Here is a 27747-nt window from a genome sequence, read left to right as displayed (position 1 = left end):
ATCATGCTGTACATCTTTATATCTTGGCTATCTTGGCTATTGTGAGTAATGCTTCAATGTAACCAATGTCTTGGACAGCTATCACGTCTTGATTAACTGATAATGGAACTCTATCTTCTTATTTTCCAAGACTAAACCCTTCATCTCTGAATGACATGTCTTTTCCTTTTGTCTTCTCCAAAATTTTTCTTTATCAGATAGCTCTTTTCCTGTTTCTTCTTCTTTGGAATTTTATTCTTTCTTCTCAGTCTTATTACTGTGAATTATAAAGATCTCTTTTTTTTGTTTTCAATCCCACTCTCTTCTCAGGAAACATACTCTTCTTTTGTTCTTTGTTACTCTGTTTCAATAGATTATTTCTAATTTCTGCCCCAACATCTTTATTTCTGAGAATTTGCTCTCCCAGCACGCATAGTTCATAGACACTAACTGTGCTCTTTTTACACATATGAGGCTGTGGTGTTGCTAAACTTAGATCCAGGAATCTGAAGAGTTTGATTTTTGTAAACTCTCTTTTAAAAGGAAGTGCTAGCATGAATATTATTTCAGAATGGTGTTTTAAACCCTATCCTAGATATTTTTCTATTAACACTCAGAGTCAAATTATACGATTTAAGACACTCCTGTTTATCATAAGAAATTGCAGGCTAAAATCTTCATTTCCTAGACTGACTTGCTGCTATGGTTCTAAGTTTCATGTAGTGAACCTAGAATGAAAGGTACATGTATACAGTTTAGAATGCTGGAGGGGTGTGAATGTCAGTCCCACTTTTCTCAGGAGGTGCGCATGGACAAGAGGCTCTGCAGATATGAATGAGAGTAGCATCCGAACTCCCCATTCCACAGCCTATTCATCCAGTTTCAGGAGTGGTGTGGCTGTGATTATTAGCTGAGGGGTAACTTGGCAGGAGGGCTTCCTGACCTCTAGTTAGTCATTGCAGACTTCACATGTGGACCACGCTTATGCTATTTTGTGACCTTGAAGGTAGAATATTGGTGGCTGTCTTTGGTCTTTTCTCTGCCTTTCCAGTGATTTCATAACCAGCTTGTTCTTTATCATAAATCAGTTTCTGCTTGATTTCCTCATCAATTTCTATCTGGTAAAAGTCTCAAATACTAAAAGAATTGGAACATAAGTAACTGAATTTCCTAGATCCAGTAACACTGTTACATGCAGTGTCACCATAATTGCTTACAACTCAAGGACTTCTATGCTGAGATAGGTTCTATCTATTTCTGTTTTGAGTGGCTACCTTACTTCTATAAGGTTTTATATACATTTTTCTTGTTTCGATCATGCTGTGGTTTGAATGCTGGTTTCCCTCCACATTTTATATGTTGAATATATTATTAAGAGGTGGGGTCTTTTGGGATGTGATAAAGTCATGAGACATCCACCCTCGAGAATAAGATTAGTGCCTCCATAAAAGAGGCTGAATGAAGTATGTTTGCCCCTTTCACCATATAAGGACACACAGAAGGCACCATCTATAAAAACAATTTGGTTATTGGACCTACACCAAAAACCAAATCTGATGGTGCCTTGATCTTGAATTTCCCAGCCCCTAGAACTGTAAGCAATATATTTATGTTGGTAATACATTACAGAGTCTAATATATTTTGCTATAGCATCCAGAATAGAGCAAGAAACATTGTGAGCTTAATCTAATATTATATAGCCAACCTGCAATACATCTGAAATGCTGTAAATTCCTTCTCATTTCACTACTCACCTAGTTTTTACCAATTGCCAAATCCAAATTATTATTTAGACTTTTTCACAATATTTGACCAATTATATTTACATTTATCCTTCAAAATAGATACACTATCTCCCTGAAAAATTTCTTTCATTTTTTTTTTGTTCTTATACATCCATGAATTAAACTGAAGTTGTCCAGAGATCTGACCTTGGTTTTCCCATTTTTACCTCTAATATTCTCCATAGCAGTGTTCATTCACTACCAAGATATCAATGGAAATTATTTCCTCCAAATATGAGTATGTCTTGACTCTTCTCACAACTCACGGACACCCAGATTCACTTATCTTTAGTACTGGGCATTTCAACAATGGGTCATAAGCAAATCAAATATAACACAATGAACCATTCAAACATTCAATTTAGAGCTATTATGAGCCAGAAAAAAATTTTGAAGAGTGAACATTAGAGTGTTTGAGTTTAAATTTATATATTTTAGATATTTGGAGAAATTTGGAAATTGGCAGTTGTGTCACTTTTTTTTATTATACTTTAAATTTTAGGGTACATGTACACAACGTGCAGGTTAGTTACATACGTACATTTTATTCTATGTTGAAATCTGTCTCTAGAACACCACCAAGATAATTTTCTAAGATACATGAATCATGTTGCTTTATGAATAAAAATCTCCAAATTTCCCTCGTTGTATACCAGACAGAATGTAAACATGATGAATTTTTTTTTTTTTTTTTTTTTTTTTTTTGGAGGAGGAAGAGTCCCGCTTTTGTCGCCCAGGCTAGAGTGTAATGGTGTGATCTCAGCTCACTGCAACTTCCGCCTCCTGGATTCAAGCAATTCTCCTGCCTCAGCCTCCCGAGTAGCTGGGATTACAGGCACCCATCACCACACCCGGCTAATATTTTTTTGTATTTCTAGTAGAGATGGGGTTTCACCATGTTGGCCAGGCTGGTCTCAGACTCCTGACCTTAGATGATCCACCCGCCTCGGCTTCCCAAAGTGCTGGTATTACAGGCGTAAACCACCTTGCCCTGCAAACATGATGAATGTTTTTAAGATCTATAACTTAACTTCTCTCTACCTCTCTAAGCACATTACCAACACTGGTCTTCTCATACAATATACCCTTCCAGTCTTCCATTAAATGCCTTACTCATTAACAGTCCCATCCTTTCAGAGCATAGTGCCTATGTACAAGTGTAACCTTGATGTTTCTTTGAGTCTTTCCCTTTCATCTTCCCTGGACCTGTTTCTACTCCCTCTTTCAGACTCAATTCAAAAGTTGACACCTTTTGAAAGCCTTTTCCAAGAACTCCAATCAGAATTCATTTTTGTTCTCCCAAACCTTTGATTCACACTTCTACAGCAACCTTATATCTTTTGAACTCCAACTTATGTGTAAAGACCAGATGCCATGTATTATTTACCTTCAGATTCCCAAGATCTAGAACAATGTGTGGTACCTACTAGAAATTCATTATATTTTTTGAGTGAATGAATTAAAAAGTGATTAGGAATTGATGCAAACATGGATTCTCTGAAAATAATGTCAAGTTATCCTGATTTCCTTTCCTTCATAGCAATATGAGAATGAGAAAACCAAGAATATATTATGAATAGTTTCTGAATATCACTGTTTGCTTAATGAGTTCTTTGAAAAATCAAGATGTAGACTTGTCCAGGCTAGATCATAAAACTGATTATGTTAAAGAATCCTGCCGTTATATTTAGGTGAAGAAAGTGTGATACCAAATGAACTAATTTTAACATGCTTTCAAGTGTTATGGAGCAAAGGTCTGGCTAAGATAAAATCTAGGTACACAGACCAGTAGATCGGCCATAATTCCATATCTTAGAATTCTATTCAATTGATCCAGTTTAACCTGTAAGCCAATCTCTGTTCTCAAGGATGACTTATACAGGCTAATCCTGACTCTGGTGAAAATACAGATGAGTGCTTCATGATATTGTACTTGTGACTTAAATCAATCCTGAAAAAAAGAGCTAAAATATTGAATTTGACAGGGTTTCAGTAGGTTAAAAAATGAGTCAAAACTGACAAGATGAGATTTAATAGGGGTAAGTATAGAGTCCTGAACTGAGGTTAAAAAAAATCAATTGTGAAGCACAGTATCAGAGACCTCCCTTAATAGCAGTTTGTGTAAAAAATTGGTAGTACAAGCTCCTAAATGGAAAAAAATAACAAAAGTCAAATGAATTTAACATTATTTAATAGAAGTATAATGTTCAGAATAAGTAAGGTCATTATCTCATTTTACTAAGCCTTGGTCCTTGATGTCTAGATTGATGTATAATAACTAAAGAGGTATCAAGGTACTGACTTCTATCCAAAAGAAAAGTGACCAATATGAACTATAATTAGGCCATAATAATACCTACCTAATATTTGTTGAGTACTTGTCATGTGCTGGGTGCTTGAATGCATTAACTCACTTAGTTGTCACAATACTGTTACCAGGTACCTCTTGGAATGACTGCACAGAAACTCTTAAAGAGCTGAGGCTCTCATTCCCCAGGGGCTGGACATACTACCTGATGACAGCTAACAGCCAAGTCCCTCCCATAAAATTGCCCAAGAGAAGGTGACTTTATCAGAAACCTGCATCAATTAATGAAACAAAGGTGTGATTATTTTATTTAGGGTTAAGGTTTAATATAAAAAAGTTCAACAGTTAAAAATATAACAATGATGAAACAAATTAAGAAATTTAAAAATATATAAATGAAATTACTTGATAATAATATTTAAAATGTAGGGTAATGATTTTTTAAGAAAAGAAATAATAAATATGCATATAAATATACAGAATGCCTTGTCAGATAATCATCTTTTGGAAGTAGAAAATTGTAAGGAAGAAATAACACTATATAGTCAAACTTTTATTTAGCCTTACATGCTGTACAACTTTAATTTGATTCAAGATATGTACTTCAATCCAAATAGAGAATGCTTCCTACTAGAAAGCAGGATCAACACCTAGGAGGTACATTTTAAAAACCAACTTTATGGTGAAGTCTTAAAATATATACGTATTTGTCTGTCTTATATTTCTAGTTAATATTTGGATTAAAAGTTAAGAAAACAAAATTATCAAGCACATATGTGAAATATTTCATATTTCTGTAACAACATAGAAAGATTACTTTTTCCCCCCAATGTTCTAAAAACAGAGGAGATAGGTAAAAGAAGACTACGTCAACTCCTGCTCATTAATAGGAAGTCAGGGTTTAATGGAAAGTCCTTGCTTAGGGTTAACTGACTTAAACCAAACACATATACATTTTACTTCCATTTCAAAAATATTTCATTTTTATATTATTTTTATAGGTGTAGGGGGTTTTCTTACAATCACATATTATGTACTAGCAAAGTTTGGGCTTTTAGTGTATCCATCACTAGAATATTGAACATTGCATCCAACAAGTAATGTTTCAATCTTCCCCTCTCTCCCAGCCTCCCACCTTTGGGAGTCTCCAGTGTCTATTTTTCCATGTGTGTACACACTGTTAAGCTCCCACTTACAAGTGAGAACATGCAGTATTTGAATTTCTGTTTTTGAGTTGTTTCACTTAGGTGAATGGCCTCCAACAAGCCTGTTTGGGTTGCTGTTTCTGTCTTGGCAAGTGGGCACTCTTTTTACCCTCTCTGGATCCCAACACTCAACACTGGACCCCTGCAACACTCCTTCCACTCCATTCACTCTGCTCAGGCTTTCACATCCCATGCCAGGCTTCTGTGCTTCACCCTACTCCTACACAGATGCCTACCTCATTCCGATGTAGGGCTAAGTTATTAAAAAGGGAAAATGCAAGGAAAAAAGAAGGAAAGGAGGACAAATGGGAGGAAAAAAGGAAAAAATGTTTCTGAATGCTGAAAAAGTAATTGTTTCCTATATTACCACTGAATGTGTACAAAAATTTCACACTACATTTTGGCTCTAATTAATTCCCTTTGGAAGTAAGGTATTCTCTTACACTGTAAAATACCATATGCCAAATGATCTTGACCTTTTACAAGGCAAATAGGCCAATGAAATCTTAAACTGTGGTATCCTCATATATTAGGAAATATTTAATTTTTTATATAATAAATGTCTTACATCTTATTTAAAATCACAGTATAGTTTCAGTGTTAGGATTCTGCAGGACAGATTGTTTTCTACCAAATATTAGTATTAAATAAGAGTACCATAAAATAAAGCATATTTATAAATGTTGATATTTAAATGCATGTTTCCCATCTAAGGCTGACTGTCTGAATCATTTTTATATCTTCATTACAATTTCAACTGAATCCACCTTTTTCTAAAACAAATTCTTAGCCTGGAATTGATAAAATTTGGAATATTAGGAAAATTGCTGAAAAATATTCAAAAAATTTCCAATATTTTCTAACTCAGCTTTGATGAAAACTTTAATTTTTATTATGTTTGGACAGAAGAAAACTCAGTAATTTAATATAGTCACTAGAAGGATAGGAATCAAATATATTTTTCAATGAACAATATTGCAGTAAGTATTGTGAGATACAAAGGTACATGCACATTAAATACTACCTGTGAAGTTCATGGAATTATTTAAACCTAATCAACATAATGTTTTAAATACCAAATATTAATACACCCTCCTAAAAATTCTGGTCATTTATTAAGTTGTACCTAATCGAAAAACACATCATTTACGAAATGGCAATATACAATACTGGATCAATATTAATAACATTATATATACATATATTGATCCTATATCTAATTATTTATAAAATTATATACTAATTTAAAGAAAAGTTGCATAATTTCCAAAGGCTTGGAATTAATTTGAGTAGTGAATGTTTCTTATTAGTACAGTTGATTCTTCAATTTATTATCTATGCATTTTGGTGAGAATTAGCACACTTCATTTTCTTATAATTTAATTTGCTTGTATAACAGTCTCTTCACATTTCTAAACTCACTTATCTTGATTTTTTTTCTCCCTGCCTTCTTCCATCAATTCCTTCCATGTAATCTCTTTTCTCCCTTCTCTATCAATGCAGTAAAACCTGAATTGGAGAATAGCAGGTTCTCTAAGTTACATAATAATTTGACATTATTAGCTTAAAAATTTCCCTTCTTGGCCTTTACGATCAATGACATTAATATTTAGAATATATTTATACAGCAGTAAAAATGAACATTTTTCTGAACTTAATATAAAATTAAAGTTATAAATAAAATCTCTACCTGAAAAGGTTATAAAATTTCTTTACAGATGCTTTTAAGTCTGTTAAAATATAATATTACAATAATTTTCTGATATTACTTTACCTAGTCTTAGAAGACTGTAAATCACATTTTTTCCATTTGAGCTACATAAACTATTTTTTAAAATGTATTTTAGGATTCCTTATCAGTCTTGTAAAACATAATGGCAAATTTTATAAATAAGTAAACAATATCTGGCTTTCTGGTTTGTATGAATTTTTTATTCTATATGTTGTTATTTCTATATCTTTAAGTTTTAGAGGTAAAACTAGAATATTAACATATACATACAAAATAAAATATTTTCAACAAATTTATGTAACCTTCAATTTTCTATTTTCCTTCAGAAGTAAGATAGCTCTTTGTACTTTCAAGTCTAAAAGTTTAAAATATATTATTATAGTTCATTTTTTCTCAGAGTGTTTTGCTTTTTAATTTTTTCATCAGGATTCTCTCTTTACTTGAAATATAATTTAATTTTTTAAAAGTCAGGAAACAACAGGTGCTGGAGAGGATGTGGAGAAATAGGAACACTTTTACACTGTTGGTGGGACTGTAAACTAGTTCAACCATTGTGGAAGTCAGTGTGACGATTCCTCAGGGATCTAGAACTAGAAATACCATTTGACCCAGCCATCCCATTACTGGGTATATACCCAAAGGATTATAAATCATGCTGCTATAAAGACACATGCACGCGTATGTTTATCGCGGCACTATTCACAATAGCAAAGACTTGGAACCAACCCAAGTGTCCAGCAATGATAGACTGGATTAAGAAAATGTGGCACATATACACCATGGAATACTATGCAGCCATAAAAAATGAAGAGTTCATGTCCTCTGTAGGGACATGGATGAAACTGGAAACCATCATTCTCAGCAAACTATCACAAGGACAAAAAACCAAACACCGCCTGTTCTCACTCATAGGTGGGAACTGAACAATGAGAACACATGGACACAGGAAGGGGAGCATCACACTCCAGGGACTATTGTGGGGTGGGGGGAGGGAGGAGGGATAGCATTAGGAGATATACCTAATGCTAAATGACGAGTTAATGGGTGCAGCACACCAGCATGGCACGTGTATACATATGTAACTAACCTGCAAATTGTGTACATGTACCCTAAAACTTAAAGTATAATAATAAAAAAAAATCGAAAAAAAAAACCATGACCGTTCCTAACATCCAAAAAAAAAAAAAAAAAAAAAGTTCCCTATTTCTTTCACAAATATCTCACTTTTAAGTTGGAGGGATTAGAATCAGGTTTTAAAATCAATCCTGATGAGTAAATACATTGTACATGCTCACTGTATAGCAGATACAATGGTTTGAAGTTTTTAAAAGTGATTCATTCTTTATAAAAAGCAATCTGTATTGTTACCTATAAAAATGTAAAATATATTCTTTGCTAACATTTAAAATTACATGACACCCACTTTTTGGAAGTTCATATTTTTGTTATAGACACGCTAAAGTCTAAGGTTTTGGAAAATTTTTATGCATGCAAAATTGTTGTACATATTTACAGGGAACATGTGACTATTTAATATAAGCAGACAATATATAATGATCAAATCTGAGTAACTGGCATGTCTGTTCTTTCATACAATTGTCATTTCTTTGTGCTTGGAGCATTCCAAATATATTCTTCTACTTTGAAATATGCAATAACTTATTGTGAACTATTATAGCCCTACCGTACCACTGAACAGCATATCTTATTCTTTGTAATCAACTGTAGTTTTATGCTCCCTGAGTAACCCCTCTTCATTCCCTCCTTCCCAATATACTACCAAGCCTCTGGTAACCACAGTCTACCTGATATCTCCAAGAGATCCATTGTTTTAAATCCCACATGTAAATGAGACCACTTTATCAACTTAAATTTTCATTTGCTCTCAGAAATATTGTGTGCGATCTCAAAAATTATTGTGCTATACTTACCAGCCAAAGCAAGAATATATTCTTGAAATCTTGTTCCTATATGATTAGTGGCTGTGCAATTATAGCGTCCAAAGTCATTGTCAGATGTAGGTGCAATCTGAAATAATTATAATAACAAATGTTACAATTCTAAAACATCACAGAAGTTTTATAATAAACCCCAGTATGACTACCACTTTCACACATTTCATTTTTTACCCAACAACTCCTTACCATATATTTTTAATTTTCTTTATTAAGTAAGCATTACTAAATAATATAAATCCTTTTATGATGTATCCATGAGCCCGTAATATCCACAGGACTAGGCAAATCAGAATTTATCTATTAATTCATTAAGTAAACAAATGGCACCACTTCGATGTATCTATTAAATAGCATAACCATTATATCTACATATATGTAAAGCTCAGAAAGTAGTACACAGTTTGAAATATATATGTGTATATATTTATGTATACATGTATATATATATGTATCTATAGTTTGCAATCAATGTAGGTGTAAACTTGAAAACAGGAAGCTTGTAATAAAAGCATTGTTAACTGTTTTTTATGTTTTGGCCTCAGATCAGTTTGCTTTAATGTTCAACAAAGTCTCCAGATATGTGATATTTCTCTCCCTGTTTTGAGTTTATTGAACATATAATACTAACGAAGGAGGAAGGATCATTCTTAATGAAATCTTTCCAGGAACATACTGTGCAATAAAATGTTACTCTTTGCAACAATACTCATAGACAGGCACTTTTTCTCGCTATCTAATAACAGTATCTTGCTTCCATTTCTGTTCAATTCCTACCATTCTTTTTCACTCTAGGTAGAAAATAGCTGACCTCTATCCTTAAACATTTGAAATCCATAATTAAGTTAACCTTCGGGGATTCTATTGGTGAACACTGAGACAAACCCTGTAATTCTAATGTACAGAAATTCTGAAGTATCAATTTAGATAAGAGATTTGATGATAGTAATAGATATAATTTTCAATCTCTGTAACTATTATTAAGAGAGAATATGCCTACAAGAGTTGCTGTTAATTTCAACTCTATCCCAAAAGAGGGAAAAATGATTTTGTAGTAATGGGAGGCTATTAACTAAGAGTGCAATTTTGAGGCCCATTGAAGATGATAATTCTGAAAGAGTACAGAAAAGCTGTGTCATTCGTTTTCTAGTCAGCTGTCCATCTAGAAACAGATCATAGGAATAAGCTTAGAATTTGTAACAGCTCTTACATAATTACTGCTAAGTGATTAAAATATTCATTTTCCTTATGTGTAGCTTTTAATAAGCAAGGCTAATTTAACTCTAAACTAATTGTTCTAATGAGAAAGAGATTTAACAAAAAATTCTTATTCTACATGCATATGAGAAAGTTATTTGCAAATTCAACAGAGAAGAATGTGTTTATTGAATCAATATAATGCCAAGACAGGATAGCCACAACAAAGAAATGTGACTATTACACAGCTCCTTAAGATTAATAATTTAAATAGAGCCATTTTCATTGGAACAATTTCTTAAAAGCTCAATTCATTTTTTTGTTGTTGTTCCTGGGAGTTCAGCTATCAACAGATAAAAGTTCATCTTAAATAAGCAACCTTTTATCATGTTGTATGCTTAATAAATAAAGAAAACACCCATCACGACATAGATTAAGACACACACACACACATCCACACACATGCTCTAGATATAATCTGGCCAAATCATGTACCCTGAAGCTTATTTGATGTATTCTAGGAAAGCAACATAAAACTAAAGTCCAATAGTGGTTTTACACTTAAACCCAGCACAATGAAATGTTATATAATTTTATGAAAATATAAGATAATATAACGAGGGTATATTATAGACCATTAAGTAAAAATATTTAAATGTTTAAAATGTGCAAAGCATTGAAAATATTAATCAAGAAACATCTACTGATAAACACCCACTGATAAACATCTACTAGAAACATCTACTGATAAAACTATTTCTTCATATTTAAATATAGGCATACCTGTTTTATTGTGTCTTACTTTGCCATGCTTGAAAGATAGTGTTTTTCTTTTTTCTTTTCTTTTTTTTTTTCACAAATTGAAGGTTTGTAGCAATCCTGCATTAAGCAATCTAACAGCACCATTTTTTCAACAACAGTTGCCCATGTCCTGTCTCTCTGACTTTTTGGTAATTCTCTCAATATTTTAAACTTTGCATTATTATTAAATTTGCTATGGTGATCTGTGATCAGTAATCTTTGATGGTACTATTGTAACTGTTTTGGAGAACCACAAACTGTGCCCCTAAGACAGTGAACTTAATTGATAAATGTGTGTTCTGATTGCTCCACTGACTGGCCGTACCCTCATCTCTCTCCCTCTTTGGCTTCCTTATTCTGTGAGACACAATAATATTAAAATTAGGCCAAATCATAATCCTACAATGGTCTCTAGGTGTTCATGTTAAAGGAAGAGTCACACATCTCCCATATTAAATCAAAAGCTAAACATGATGAAGCTTAGTGAGGAAGGCATGACAAAACCAAGATAGGCTAAAACAGAAGCCTATTGCAACAAACAGCCAAGTGGTAAATGTGAAGAGAGAGTTCCTGAAAAAAATCTAAAGTACTACGCTAGTGGACTCACAAATGATAAGAAAGCTAAACAGCCTTACTCATGTTATGGAGAAATATTTTGTTGGCCTGGATAGAAGACAAAGCCAACCACAATACTCCCTTAAGCCAAAGCCCAAGCCAGAGCAAAGATCTAACATGCCTCAATTCAATGAAGGCTGACAGAGGTGAGGAAGGTGCAGAAGAAGAGTTTGAAGCTGGCAGGGGTTAGTTCATGAGGCTTAAGGGAAGAAGCCATCTTTATAACATAAAAATACAAGGTGGAGCAGCAAGTGCTGATGTAGAAGCTGCAGCATGTTATCCAGAAGATCAAGCTAAGGGCCGGGCGAGGTGGCTCACGCCTGTAATCCCACCACTTTGGGAGGCCGAGGCGGGCAGATCACGAGGTCAGGAGATCGAGATCATCCTGGCTAACACGGTGAAACCCTGTCTCTACTAAAAGTACAAAAAATTAGCCGGGCGTGGTGGCCGGCGCCTGTAGTCCCAGCTACTCGGGAGGCTGAGGCAGGAGAACGGTGTGAACCCGGGAGGCAGAGCTTGCACTGAGCCGAGATCGCGCCACTACACAGCCTGGGCGACAGAGCAAGACCCTGTCTCAAAAAAAAAAAAAAAAAAAAAAAAAAGATCAAGCTAAGATCATTGATGGAATTGACTACACTAAAAAATAGAATTTAAAGTAGATGAAACAGTTTTCTATTGCAAGAAGATGCCATCTAGACTTTTATAGCTAGAGAGGAGATGTAAAGGGCAGGGTTCAAACTTCCAAGGACCTGTTGAATCTCTTGTTAGGGGCCAATACAGCTAGTGACTTAAGTTCAAGCCATTGTTCATTCATTTATCGTTATGAAAATCCTAGGGTCTTTAAGAATTATGCTAAATCGACTCTGCCTGTGTTCTATCCATGGGAAAACTAAGCCTGGTTGACAGAACATCTGTTTACAGCCTGGTTTATTGAATATTTTAAGCCCACTGTTGAGATATAGTGCTGAGAAAAAAAAAAAAAAGATTCCCTTCAAACTAGTCGTGCTCATTGACAATGTACCTAGTCACCCAAGAGCTCTGATAGACATATACAAAGATATTAATGTTGTTTTCATGCTGGCTAACCCAACATCCATTCTGAAGCCTGTGGATCAAGGAGTAATTTCAACTTTCAAGTCCTAGTACTTAAGAAATACAATTTGTGGCCGGGCGCGGTGGCTCACGCCTGTAATCCCAGCACTTTGGGAGGCCGAGGCAGGCGGATCACGAGGTCAGGAGATGGAGACCATCCTGGTTAACACCGTGAAACTCCGTCTCAACTAAAAATACAAAAAAATAGCCGGGCGTGGTGGCAGGCACCTGTAATCCCAGCTACTCGGGAGGGTGAGGCAGGAGAATGGTGTGAACCCGGGAAGCGGAGGTGCAGTGAGTGGAGATCGTGCCATTGCACTCCAGCCTGGGCGACAGAGCGAGACTCCCTCTCAAAAAAAAAAAAAAACACACAACAAAAAACAGAAATACAATATTTAAGGCTTCAGCTGCCATAAAACAGTGATTCCTCTGACGGATCTGGGAAAAGTCAACTGAAAATCTTCTGAAAAGGATTCACCATGCTGACGCCATTAAGAATATTTGTGGCTCATGGGAGAAAGTGAAAATATCAACATTAATAAGAATTTGGAAGAAGTTGATTCCAACCCTCATGGATGACTTTGAGGGGTTCAAGACTTCAGTGAAGGAAGTAACTGCAGATGCGGTGGAAATAGAGAGCTAGAATTAGAAATGGAGCCTGAAGAAGTGAATGAATTGCTGCAATCTGATGATAAAACTCTAACAGATGGGAAAATTGCTCTTCATGGAGGAGCAAATAAAGTGGTTTCTGGTGGTAGAATTTACTCCTGCTGAAGATGCCTGAAAAATGTTGAAATGATAACCAAAGATTTAGAATATTACATAAACTTAGTTGATAAAGCGGTGACAGGGTTTGAGAGGATTTACTTCATTTTTGAAAGATGTTCTGCTATAGGTAATTCCTAACAAACAGTATTATATGCTGTTAGCCTTATAGCATCACCTGCTACACAGAGATCTTTCATGAAAGGAAGTGTTAATTAACAAAGTGCTTCACTGTTGCCTTATTTTAATAAACTGCCACAGCCACTCCAACCTTCAGCAATCAACATTCTGATCAGTAAGCAGCCATCAACCTTGCGACAAAACGCTTCACCAATGAAAAAAGTTACAACTTGCTTAAATCTCAAATTATTCCCAGAAAATTTTAGTAATTATTTTTCAGTTATGTTATGTAGACCTTTTTATACATCATGCTTTTGCACACTTAATAGACTATAGTGCCAACATAACTTTTATATGCACTGAAAAAAGCAAAAATTTGTGTGACTGGCTTTATAGAGATATTTACTTTATTGAGGTGCTCTTGGAACTAAACCTGCAATATCTCCAAGGTATATCTGTATCCAGCTAAAAATGCTGATATTAATTAATGATATTAGGTTTGGACAGAGTATAGTGAACTAACAAATATAGTTTTGAATATCTAAATATAAGCTAAGTGTATAATATTAATCAAGAAGCTTGCTAGTCTTTTTCTTAAACCTAAAAATATTTATTTCTTCTATGTATTCCATGATAAGAAAGTCATGGACACAACAGTAAGCACCCCTATTTAGGATATGAAACAAAGATACAGACAATGCAAAGCACAATATTATTCTAACAAACCTATTAAAACCAATCCTTCTTTCAATGTTTGCCCACATATTGAAAAGTTTTGTAATTTCCTCAGGATGTGGTCAGTTAAAAAAATAAAGTTTTGATGACCTTGACCTTTACAGATTACAGAGGCATTTATTGGCAGTAACTTAAATAATTTATTGAATATTTGGTTATGTTTTAAAACACACAATTTTAAAAGTTTGAATATATATACTTAAAGAAAAAATCTTTAAAACAATTCAATAAATTTATTACTGACAACTTGTTAAGTGTAAACTTTTCCTATATTTCCTTTTATATTCTAAAGAATTAGCACATATATGACTTTTACAATAATTACTAAACAAAAGTAACTGTCTCAAGCAACTGTATATACTAATAATTAAATATTAGTAATGCTCATTGTTGCTTTCTCTTTATATTATTGTTATTTTGTTATGCTATGTTTTCAAGTTGTGTTAATCACACATTTATATTTTTCATTCAGAATTTAAATTTAATTTGTGAGAGTATACACATAAACATGTCTGTTTAAAGTCAGTGGTTTAGCCAACAGATCACCTGGCTGTGTGTCAAGTAGGCAAAAATTGTGGGTTTTTTAAAATTTTATTTTGGAGTGCAGAGGGATGTCTTTAGGCAGAAGTTTAAATAGCATACACTATATACTATGTTGTATGTATAAAATGTCCCTTCACATTAAATATAGAGAATTATGAGTTGGCTGAGGAACTAAAAAATGTCAAGATGAAGTAAAGCAGAAATTACACATTAGTCTGTCATTTACTCACGAAATTCAATCTACTTTCTATGGACTGAACTGCCCGCCTCCTCACTCTGCCCATTCATATACTGAAACCCTAAATTCCGGTGTGAATGAATTTGGAGATAGGATCTTTAAGAAGGTAATTAAGGTTAAACGAGGTAATAAGAGTGGGACCTAATCCAACAGGACTGGTATCCTTACAAGAAAAGGAAGACACCAGAACTCTGTGTGCGCACAGAGGAAAGGGCATGTGAGGACACAGCAAGAAGGCGGCCAAGTACAAGTCCAGGGAAGAGTCCTCTATAGAAAGCAACCTGGCAGGCACCATGATATTGAACCTCTATCCTCCAGAACTCAGAACAAATTTCTGTGATTTCAACCATCCTGTCTATAGTATTTTATTAAAGTATTCAAGGAGACTACACACTACACAAAACAAGTTAAATCTAACCTGAGCTTTTCACTAAGGTAAAACACATAAAATTTAGATTAAAACTGTCCAGATGTTTTTATGAAATTGACATCCCTGTCAAGTCACAAATAGCTAATTCTTCTAAAATATTTCCAAAGAAACTTATTTATATTGAAATTGATTTAGACATAGCGGTTTAATTACCAACCAGCCAGCTATGCAAGTATTTGCAGACATGATGGCTAAATCCTCCTATCAAACGAATTTTTTTAAAGTCTAAATGGCATCAATGAGGACATTTTAAGTTAAGGCAGTATGGATATTAGACGGTATTCTAAAACGTGCATTTCATTTTAGCTTATGCAAACTGAATTAGTGAATAAAATGTAGCAACCTTTCAGCAAATAAGGCTGTGTGAAAAAGATTCCCAATTTTCCTAACCGCATCATAATTTGGAAAGGGTGATGATCATTTTCATAGATTTTTTTATGTTTCGGAAATTGATACACACATACACTCCAATTAATAAATAAGAGGCACTTTATTCAGACAGTATTTAAAGGCCAATTACTTGGCAATATAAAAATAATTATACAAAATCTTATTTTTAGTAATAAAACAAAAGATACTGAACAAGTAAATTTCATTTATTTTGGAATTTACACTAGAATTGTAAAAATCTAGCCAACAGATAGCATTTATACCTGCCAGACTGAAAAGAAAAAAAAGCTATACCACATGGAATCAATGAAAACATCAACATTGAAGACAAATTTTTAGCCCTCAATAACTATTACATTACCAATTTTTTCTTCCTAGATTTTTCCATATATATATATATGGAAAAATTTTTATCCCTCAATAACTATTACATTACCAATTTTTTCTTCCTAGATTTTCCATATATATATGTATATATATATACATATATATGTGTATATATATATACATATATATGTATATATATACACACATATATATATGTGTGTGTATATATATATATATACACACACATATATATATGTGTGTATATATATATATATATTTTTTTTTTTAAGACGGAGTCTCGCTCTGTCACCAGGCTGGAGTGCAGTGGCGTGATCTCGGCTCACTGCAACCTCCACCTCCCAAGTTCAAGTGATTCTCCTGCCTCAGCCTCCTGAGTAGCTGGGGCTATAGGCACACACCACCACACCCAGCTAATTTTTGTATTTTTAGTAGAGACAGGGTTTCACCATGTTGGCCAGGACGGTCTCAGTCTCCTGACCTTGTGATCTGCCCTCCTCAGCCTCCCAAAGTGCTGGGATTACAGGAGTGAGCCACTGCGCCCGGCCATATAATTGTTTTTATTCCTAAAAGTGCATTTATAAAAATAATGGTCTTTGCTATATAGCCACATTGCTATATAAGTGAATAGACATTCATACACTCATCATTAATGAGCCATGGACCTTTAAGTAAATAACTGTAAAATATATACACCATGATTTCTCTCTCTTATTATATATATATATGCATATGAAGATATTTAAATATATTCTGAAATAGTAGATAGTTGTTAAAATAATACAATTTATTGATGTATACATGTGGACTTACCTCTAATATCATCTTTCTTCCTGTACTATAAGTCTTTAAATTGGTCGTGTTTTTAGCAGGTAAGACTAATTTATCTCTTCTCCAGTGAATTGATGCTGGTGGATTCGATTTCACATCACAACTTATATTGATAGGATTTCCTTCCCAAGAGTAATAAATTGTTTGGTTTGATATAAACTTGGGGGCATCTGTAATACAATATAATAAAATAATTATAGGCATTTTCTTTAAGTTAAATAATCATTTAAGTAGTATAAGCATTAGTTATTTCTACTGTATAAAAAGAAGCCACATAATTCTAATTTCGTGTATTTTTTTTTTTTCTTTTTGAGACGGAGTCTCGCCCTGTCGCCCAGGCTGGAGTGCAGTGGTGCAATCTCCGCTCACTGCAAGCTCCGCCTCCTGGGTTGATGCCATTCTCCTGCTTCAGCCTTCTGAGTAGCTGGGACTACAGGTGCCCGCCACCAAGCCAGGCTAATCTTTTGTATTTTTAGTAGAGACGGGGTTTCACTGTGTTAGCCAGGATGGTCTCGATCTCCTGACCTCGTGATTCTCGATCTCCTGACCTCGAGATCCGCCCGCCTCAGACTCCCAAAGTGCTGGAATTACAGGCGTGAGCCACCGCTCCCAGCCTAATTTTGTGTATTTAACACAGTGCATCAGAACTCACGAAAATATATGTCATTTGAATACTTTTATCACATAATTTAATAGGATTAACATACACTCATAAATTACCAATTATTAAAATATAAGAGAACCAGAGTTAAATTTGCTCTTACTAATCTGACAAAAAATACATATTGACTATGTTAATGACTATCTACTTGTGTAGAAACTATTTCTGGAACAAACTATAAAGTGAGAGTTTAGGATAAAATCTAATAAATGGTTCTTTCCTCACTTTTTATTTCGTTTAAGTCATAGTCACTTTTTCTATAAATTATTTTGAAGACTCAGGTATGAAATCTAAGCTGGAATGGCAACAACATAACTAAACATTTTTTCCCTAAAGTATCCATATTTCCCATTTTTACTAAACCACAGATGTCATAAATTAATCAACAATAATTAATTTGAAAAGTAACCAGTTCCTATTCTTACGATTCCCTATCAATTTTTTCAGGTCTGTATTCTAGATCTCTATCACAGAAGTTAAGAGAAAACAATGTATAATTTTATTTAAAAATCTAAATGTGAAAACATACAAATGTTGTTTTCACTCTTCCTCCACCCCAGGACTACGATCTAAATCAAATGCCAAATATTGTAACCTCTCAATTTCCTGCCTGCATAATTATTTGAGAAGATTTTATAATTATTTTTACATGAAAGCATAATTCTCAAGTAAGCTGTAGCTAAAATTTTGCTCATATTTATGCTGATTATTGTTACTAATATTAACTACTTAGAACTTAATATCACATCAAAAATTATCAATTTAAGTCATTTAACTTTTAAATATTTTATTACTGCAAACTACTTAAAAAAGCAATATCCAGTTTTGTTATATCTACTAATTATATAAATATCAGATATGTAACTTATCTGTAGTACAAATGCAGAAGTAATCATTTAGAAGTCCTTGTCCTATTTTACTTTAATGAATGTTTTTAATGACAATCTCACATACAAGTCTGAAATGCTTACTGAATCATTTCTATATGAAGGTAAGTTGTTTATATACTTTATTATATTTAATATTTTTAATAACCTTGTAAGGAAGGAATAATCTCTGTTCTATGGAAAAGGGATCTGAGTTAAGAGATGCCAAGCTCATTCCCACAATAAGTTTTAGGGCTCAGATATCAATATAGGGCTATTTTAACCAACGTCTATTATATGCCCAATCAAATACAGAAATAAAATTATAATTTTCAGGGTTTGAAACATTTTGGTGCTGTGAATCCTATCATCTATTATTAAAGGGAATATAATTGAAACAATTCTCAGGAAGATAAAACAGCTTTATAATCTTGATTCTGCAATCCAGTATGTATCCAGAGAAAATAATTATAAATATTATAAAAGTTTATTTAAAGGACTTTTAATGCACTATTATTTTAATAACAAAAACTGAAAACAACTTAACATCCCATAAATGGTGGTACATCTTTGTACTTAGGTGTGCTAAATATTACACAGATACATTTGCCTATGGCTTTCCATTAGCTCGGCATATACCTGCCCTTCCCTTCAACTGACTGAGTTCAAAAGTAAGCTCCTCACTTTCTAAACACAGCCTTTCCACACTCTTCAGTTCTAGATGAGGTGGCCTAAATTGTGCACCCACAGCATTCTGTGATTTCCCTCATCATGGTCATTAGGCAATGGAAGCATCTATTTGATCGTTTCTACACCAAATGATGTCCATTTGGGGGTCAGAATGTATCTCAGTCACAATTATTTATCTAATGGCTTACACAGTGTTTTTTAAACTGTACATTGAATTGACTGGAAATTAAATAGTCAAATAAATTTTAATTCAACAGTTCAACTAAATTGAAAAAGCCAGGGACATGAAGAATCTAAGAACACACAACTGATTAAAGGAACAACTATAAGAGAAGCCAAATTTCTTGATATTCAAAGTCAAAAACTAAGTTTACGTCTATATCTTTATTTACAACCCTTAAGGTATGTAAAATAATTTATTTAGCATTATACTATTTCTTGGAGAGGATTAAGGAAAATATAATTACAAATAAACTCAATCCAACAAGAAATTCATACGTCTATATCTATATCTTTAAATTTATTTACAACTGTTAAGGTATGTAAAATATAACTTATTTAACATTATACTATTTCACGGAGAGGTTTAAGGAAAATATAGTTACAAATAAACTCAATCCAATAAGAAATTCATACATCCTAATGGAAACATTAATAGCTGACTTGCAGTCACACTCTGTCCACAATGTGGCATCTGCATGTAGTGTATTTTAATAGTGTAATTTAACTATATACTGAGGGTAAGATTTGTTGTTTTCCATAACAGAAAGCAATTGCCACTAATTGCTTGCCTGATGATCTCAGTGTGAATTTTACTCAGAATTATCAGTGTTGAATGCAATACTTGCTACAGGCAATACATGCTATACTGAAAGCCACATTAAAAAATGTATTTGTGGTATCAAGCAAGAAAATATTGATAACGCCGGTCTATAATAAAACAGAAACTAAATGTCTATACAGGATATGCTTTGTAAATATCAATACAGTAGCAAGGCAGCGATATTCACTGGCACAAGATTAGCATGTCAATGCAATTAACAACTTGGTACTGGGCCAGTGTGGTATGAGGGATGTGACTCTTGCATAGCACCATCTGAAGTGGCTGAAGAATGTAGCCATATGTCATGTTGGTGTACCAAAAATAGTCATTTTCAAAATCAGGAAGGCCCTTTACATCATGAAAGGTTTCAAATGTACAGAGGAAATAAACACTGGTGGTTAGAGAAACACATACAGGGGAAAAAGGAGAAAAGAATATAGCATAAGCAGAAGTGGAAAGATACTTTTGCCTATGCTATATTCTTTCACATATATATGAAAGAAAAAAGGCAATAGGCATGGAAACATTTTTATCTTGAACTTGCATTTTTTTGGCTTAGGATTTGTGCCCAATTAATTCCTGACTACATGAAATATGAAGTTATGGAAGCATATCTTAAGGAGTTATGTGTCCATCAATCTTATCAAAGTCCAAATCAAAATATGATTCTACAAATTATAATGAAAAGAAGTGACTTTATTGGAAGAATTAATTTTTATCTGAGCAGAGTAGAAAAAAGTTAAGATAAATTTGAATAGTGAAAAGATGGAAGTATGTCATTCACTGGAGGTGGAGAAAAAGATCTCCTTTCTGAAAGCCTCCAGTGCCAGTGACAATCAAGAAAGTGACACAGACACCCTCTTTGATCAAACTTTAGTCAGGTTCTTCTTAGCCCACTTTTCAACTAGGCCTTGACCTTGGCACTGTCCCTGGCTTGCCAGTAGCAAAGAATCCTGCCAAATCCATTTATAAGAGTTCCCGCACCCTTGATTTCTGATCACTCTTGCTATCTGACCAAGTTCTTCATTCAACACAATTGTGGTCTAAGTCTTTGGCCTGTCTTTAGCAAGGACCCTGTTAGGCCAGGTTACCAAGAAAGTCATTACCTCTGAAGTTTACCAGGTCCCTCTTAATAACTTTTCATCCACTGCCATCTCTCACTCTACTCATTGGCTGTACATTCCAACTTGTCCTTGTATTTGGCTTTGAGCTCAATCTCTCTCTTCTATTGCAATAGTCTTGAGCACTATTGTGTTAGTAATAATGACTAGTCTTCCTTACAGTTTTTAACAGGTCTCGGAATAATTTCTGTTTGACGAATGAGGGTAACCCCAAGAAGGTGTTTAAAAAGAAAGCTTGATTCCCTTTCTTAAAGAGAGAATGAGAGAGACAGATGTGAAGCAGATGCATCAGTAATAAGAGATAGTGGGTTACTTTTGGTAAAATTTGTATATTTGAAATATGAGAGTTAAAATAAAAAGCTACAGTTAATTTAAAATTATGAATGGGCAGGTAAGTTAATCACTTGCTTCATTATCAGAAAGTCAAAGAAGATTCCCTAGATTGTAGTTTAGAAATGTTAAAATGCCTTCCATTTTGAATTAATAAGAAATATTGTTAAACTAGTGTAGAAAATTTGTTGCAATATTGTTTACAGACAAGATTTGGATTTCAAAGGTGAATTTCAAAATTGTCTCCCTAGCACAGTTGTGATTAAGAAATTACAAATAAATTGATTCATAGAACTTTTGCCCTTGATCATAACAAGTAAACTTCTGCATTAAAACATATTTGCCTAAAATAATGGAAAATGTCATTTGACATCTCAAGAAAGAATACCCAAATAAGTATACTTACTAACGTCTTCAAATATAATAATTGATTTTAAAGACACTTTTTAAATTATACTTTTTATTTTAAAATACTTTTACTGTATAATTTTACATCAGGAATATGCATCTGGACCTCGCCAAAGTTAGGTTCTATAATCAACTTTCAATTAGGACATTTATGAAGAAATTAGGTTGTTACCTCTTCCCAAGTCTCTGCTGAGGCATTAAGAGGTTAAAATATATTACAATGCTCCCATCATTGTTAATACTAACGTGTTTGGCAGTAGGCATATTGTGTATGCTTTTTTCACATTTTTTTCATTGAGAATATTCAGCCTCTATTAAATCAATATTCTGAAACATAAAAACTAAAAGAGTCTTGTTAGTAATTATACCATAAATAAATAACAAAAATACTAAACATGACTGCAAAAATATCTTGATAGTCTAAAAATAGTAAGTATAATAATAATATATTTGTTATACTGTACTTTCCTCAATAGTGTATTCTAATTTTGATGTTTTTCAGTCCCGGTAAAGTTACAAACTTTTGGAAAGCCATATGTATGGCTTTAAAAATGTAAAATGCGTTACTACATGTGGAGTCTCTTTAAATTTTTAAAAATGAAAATAAAAACCCTTAGAGTTTTAATTTCAAATAATTATGTAGGCTTTACTATTGTAAAGTTGCTTTTGTAAAAAAGCAACTTTACTTTCACTTCTGTAAAGTGTGTGCACATATGTATATATGTATATATGAGTGAATATATACATATATGTACATACGAGTGGGTATGTGTAAACACACATATGAATATATACATATTCACTCTCATGTATACAAATATACATTTAATGGCATATATTGTGTATATATAGATATACTGACATATATTGATATACGGTATATACACATACATACTATATATACATATATACACTCATATACACAAATATATACTGTATTAGTTCGTTTTCATGTTGCTGATAAAGACATTCAAAACTGGGTAATTTATGAAGAAAAAGAAGTTTCATAAACTCGCAGTTTCACTTGGCTGTTGAGGCCTCACAGTCGTGGCAGAAGGGGAAGTGAAAGGCACATCTTCCCTGGCTGCAGACAAGACAGAATGAGAGCCAAGCAAAAGGGGAAACCCCTTATAAAACCATCAGCTCTCGTGAGACTTATTCACTACCCTGTGATTCAATTATGCTCTGCTGGGTCCCTCCCACAACACGTGGGAATTATGGGAGCTACAATTCAAGATGAGATTTGGGTGGGGACACAGCCAAACCATATTGTACACATATACATACAATATATTGACATATGTTGATATTGTTTACACACATATATTCACTCTACAGTAAACACGTATGCCTCACATCAGGGGAAATATTGAGTTATCTATTTTATTTGTTGAGAGGCATAATTATTTGAAATTAAAATTGAAAGAGGCTTTATTTCCATTTTTAAAAATGTCAAGACACTCCATATGTAGTAAGACACTTGAAAGCATAAAACAACATCAATTATTTTTATCATAAAGAGGGCAAAATTCATATTAAATTTTAACAGTATTATGATACCATATATTAAGCCTGACCCCTTAAATAGTGACTTTATTTTTATTTAAATTTCTAAATTGAACTCATATTTTAATGACAGAGCTCATACATTCTATATTTTCACATATTTCAATGCTACAATAACTTGTTTAGAATTAATCATACTCCATAACGTATGGTGAATAATTAACATTTTATTTATGTTTTGGTTTTATTTGTTTTGATTTCAAACTAATATTTACCTATTTGTACATTTATTCTACCTTCACTTTCAAAAAGATGTTGAAGGAATTTAACTTCTTCATGATATACTGCCATCATGGGTTGCCTTGCCAAATAAAATGTTAAAATCCTCCAAATCAGAATGATATATTTGATTGTACACTAATAATTCAAAATAATATCAAAATTTATGTCTATGAATAGTAAGCCATTTAGCAGATGCTGGACACAACTGTTTGGGTATAAAAGTTTTTCTTCCCTGAGTATTAACTGGCACATTGAGAGTTTGTGGAGGAAAAAGATGAATGTCTCAACCTTAATCTTAAAGATTTTCCATCTGCAGCTCTGGGAGGGCAACCACTGTCCCAAATTATCACTGGTAGTTTATTTCATGCAAATTACTGTTTAAATGCAAGGTATTCATCTCAACAGGAAACATTCTAGTGGATGAGGCAGATGCAAAAGTAAATAAATATATTGTTATATAACTGCAACCCAGAGAAAGATTCCCAGAAGAACATTAACTTAAATCTCTACTATTTTGTGAGCAGTTAAAATGTCCCAGGCATAGTGCTTCTCACAACTTGTCACAAGTCTTACAACAAGAATCTGGAGAAAATTCAATAGCAAAAAAAACACATAATCTGATTTTAAAATGGGCAAAGGAACTGAATTAGCCCAAAAGAAGGTAAATAAGTGGCCAACAGGTATTTTAAAAAATGTTCCACATCACTAATCATTAAGAAGATGCAAATTAAAGCCATAAGAAGATATAAACTCACATCAGTTACAAAGGCTATTACAAAAAACCCAGAAGGTAATTATTGTCAAGGATGCAGAGAAAAGATAACCCTTATATGCTTTTGGTGGGAATGTCAATTAGTACATGTATTATGAAAAACTGTATGGAGGTTTCTCAAAAAATTAAAAACGGAACTACCTATCAGGGGAACCCACCCCCAATATTTCAGTGTAGGTTCTTTATATTTTCCCTAAGTGTCAGCCACTCTGAGAAATAAAGAGAAAGAGTACAAAGAGAGGAATTTTACAGCTGGGCCACTAGGGGTGACATCTCATATCGGTAGGTCCATGATGCCCACCTGAGCCACAAAACCAGCAAGTTTTTATTAGGGATTTCAAAAGGGGAGGGAGTGTACAAACAGGGAGTAGGTCACATGCTTCAAGAGGCAAAAAGCAGAGCAAAGATCACATGCTTTTGAGGAAACAGGACCAGGGCAAAATCAGAAACTCCTGATAAGGGTCTATGTTCAGCATTGCACGTATTGTCTTGATAAACATCTTAACAGAAAACAGGGTTTGAGAGCAGAGAACCAGTCTGACCTCAAATTTACCAGGGCTGGGGTTTCCCAATCCTAGTCAGCCTGAGGGTACTGCAGGACTCCAGGGCCTATCTCAGTCCTTATCTCAACCACATAGGATAGACACTCACAGAGTGGCCGTTTATAGACCTCCCCCCAGGAATGCAATTCTTTTCCTAGGGTCTTAATATTATATTCCTTGCTAGGAAAAGAATTTAGCCATATCTCTCCTACTTGCATGTCCGTTTATAGGCTTTCTGCAAGAAGAAAAATATGGCTGTTTTTGCCCAACCCTGCAGGCAGTCAGACCTTACTGTTGTCTTCCCTTGTTCCCTAAAATCGCTGTTATTCTGTTCATTTTCAAGGTGCACTCATTTCATATTGTTCAAACACATATGTTTTACAATCAATTTGTACAGTTAACGCAATCATCACAGGGTCCTGAGGTGACTTACATCCTCAGCTTACGAAGATAACAGGATTAAGAGATTAAAGTAAGACAGGCATAAGAAATTATGAGTATTATTAGGGAAGTGATAAATGTCCATGAAATCTTCACAATTTGTTTCCTCTGCTGCAGCTCCAGCCGGTCCCTCTGTTCAGGGTCCCTGACTTCCTGCAACAATTACCATATTATCCAGTTATCCTACTTGTGAGTATATGTCCAAAGGAACTTCAATTAGTATGTAGAAAAGATATCCATACTCCTATATTAATTGCAGCATTATTCACAATAGTCAAGACATGAAATCAGATTAAAATGTGCATCAGTAGATGAATGGATACAAAACACATAGTATATATACAAAATGAAAATAGAAGGAAATTCTGACATTTTCAATGACATGAATGAATCTGGAGGATGTTATCTTAAGTGAAATAAACCAGGCACAGAAACACAAATACTGCATAATCTAATTTATACATGTGGAATAAAAAACAGTCAAATTCATAGAAAAGGACAGTAGGTTGGTGGTTACCAGAGGTTATGGTGGTAAGAGGAATAGAAAGATGTTGGCCAAGGGATTCAAAGATTCAGTTAGACAACAGAAGTAAGTTTTTGAGATGTATTACCCAATAAGATGACAACAGTTAGTGTATCATGTGTTTAAAAATTGCTAAGACAGTACATTTCAAATGTTCTCACCACGAAAAAGGCTGAGTATTGTGAGGTGAAGAATTTAAACATTCCACACTGTTAGACATATATGAAAATATCACACTGTGACCCATAAATATATACAACTAAATTAAAAAGGTCTGGAGATGTGCACACACATACACACAGAGAATAGTGGATGAAAACAAAATAAAATTTGTGGCTGGTGCTCATAAGCAAAATTTTGTATTGGAAATAGCATTGAGCTTGCAATCAAAATTGAGTGCCAACTCTGTCAAGTAGAAAAGATGTGACCTTGAGTTTCTGCTTTTAAGTTTGGCCTTTTTTTCTTTTCTTTAAAGAATTTAGGAGTTGAACTAGATAAATTCTTCCCAAATTCCTTAACCTCTAAGATTTCTTTAAAATTACCCTGGGACAAATTTAAAAAATAAACATGCATATTACTTTTAGGATACATAAAGTAGCACTAGTCCATATAAAAGGTGGCATTTGCCTTTCTAAAGAACTATGTAAGCCACTTGGGATAATAATTATTTCATGTTTATAAAAGCCTCTGGTGTAGTTTACTACATACAAATGCAGGCATTGATACGCATATGTTTGTACAATAAGGTGCCTTTGATCCCTGCTACTTGGGAGGCTGAGGCATGAGAATCACTTGAACCTAGGAGATGGAGGTTGCAGTGAGCCAAGATTGCATCAGTGCACTCCAGCCTGGGCGACTCCATCTCAAAAAAAAAAAAAAAAGTTTTTGGTAAATATTTTAATAAGTGAATATCTTTCAAACAGACAAAAAGAGACTACATGAGGGTAAATAATGCAGTAGTCCTTGGTGGTAAATGTATTATCTTAAGACTCCAAAATCTTCTTAATAAGTATATAATTAATAAAAATTGTGCATTACTATATAGACCATAAGAAAAGGAATACTGCAAACAAGATGTAATGTGTCTACAGACATTAAAAACAAGGAACTATGCTCTTTTAGCTGTTATCACAATGAAATGATCCCTAATGATAAATTATTTAGATTTAATTAAATGGCAGCTGTACAGGCAGAAGTCTGACCTAGAACATTTATTCTTAAATCCATGCCCTTGACTGAATCTCTGACATTACATTGCCAGCATCACATGAAACAGTAACATATGCCAGCATCTGAATGTGTCACCTTCCTCAATGTTTCATTCAGGACAAGCTTATTTCCAGCCCAATCCTTTCCATACTAGGAGACACCAAAGAAACTATAATAGGGTGTCAATTTAAAGCATGTCTTTGGACTTGGTACCAAGTTATACTTGTTTTGATAAATGCCCCCTCCCTGCCTCTTTTTTTTCTTATTCTGAGATTTAGAGGTGAACTTGGAGTCAGTACTGATCACTGCATTCTCCTGCAGTATGAGATTTCTTGACTTGATTACTTGCTTAATGCAAGCTTTCTACTTTCTTTTGTAATTCCTCCTTTGGCTCTGAAATATTTTCTCTGAGCCTAGTTTATTTGTGGTTGGTAACTGTGACCTAAGAAAAGTCTTATTTCTTGCTCAGTGCTGGCCTGCATTACTGAATTCTGCCTGTGTCTGAGC

At 33.8% G+C, this 27747-nt stretch overlaps 1 protein-coding gene across 16 annotated transcripts in view; it reads right to left on the bottom strand.

Annotated features, from left to right (window-relative positions):
- NCAM2 (neural cell adhesion molecule 2) overlaps positions 1 to 27747 on the bottom strand; it is a 544921-nt gene that overhangs the window by 115820 nt on the left and 401354 nt on the right. For all 16 annotated transcript variants that reach the window (NM_001352592.2, NM_001352591.2, NM_004540.5 and 13 more), the window contains 2 exons: positions 17049 to 17236; positions 8941 to 9037 (listed from right to left, as the gene is read on the bottom strand). In NM_001352592.2, the coding sequence (NP_001339521.1) occupies positions 8941 to 9037; positions 17049 to 17236 (285 nt within the window). The remainder of the gene's footprint in view (positions 1 to 8940; positions 9038 to 17048; positions 17237 to 27747) is intronic.

Source organism: Homo sapiens, chromosome 21, assembly GCF_000001405.40.
Source record: "Homo sapiens chromosome 21, GRCh38.p14 Primary Assembly".
In the NCBI taxonomy this organism is placed as follows: Eukaryota; Metazoa; Chordata; class Mammalia; order Primates; family Hominidae; genus Homo; species Homo sapiens.
Note: the sequence above shows the minus strand (reverse complement) of the source record. Positions and strands in the feature narration are given on the sequence as shown.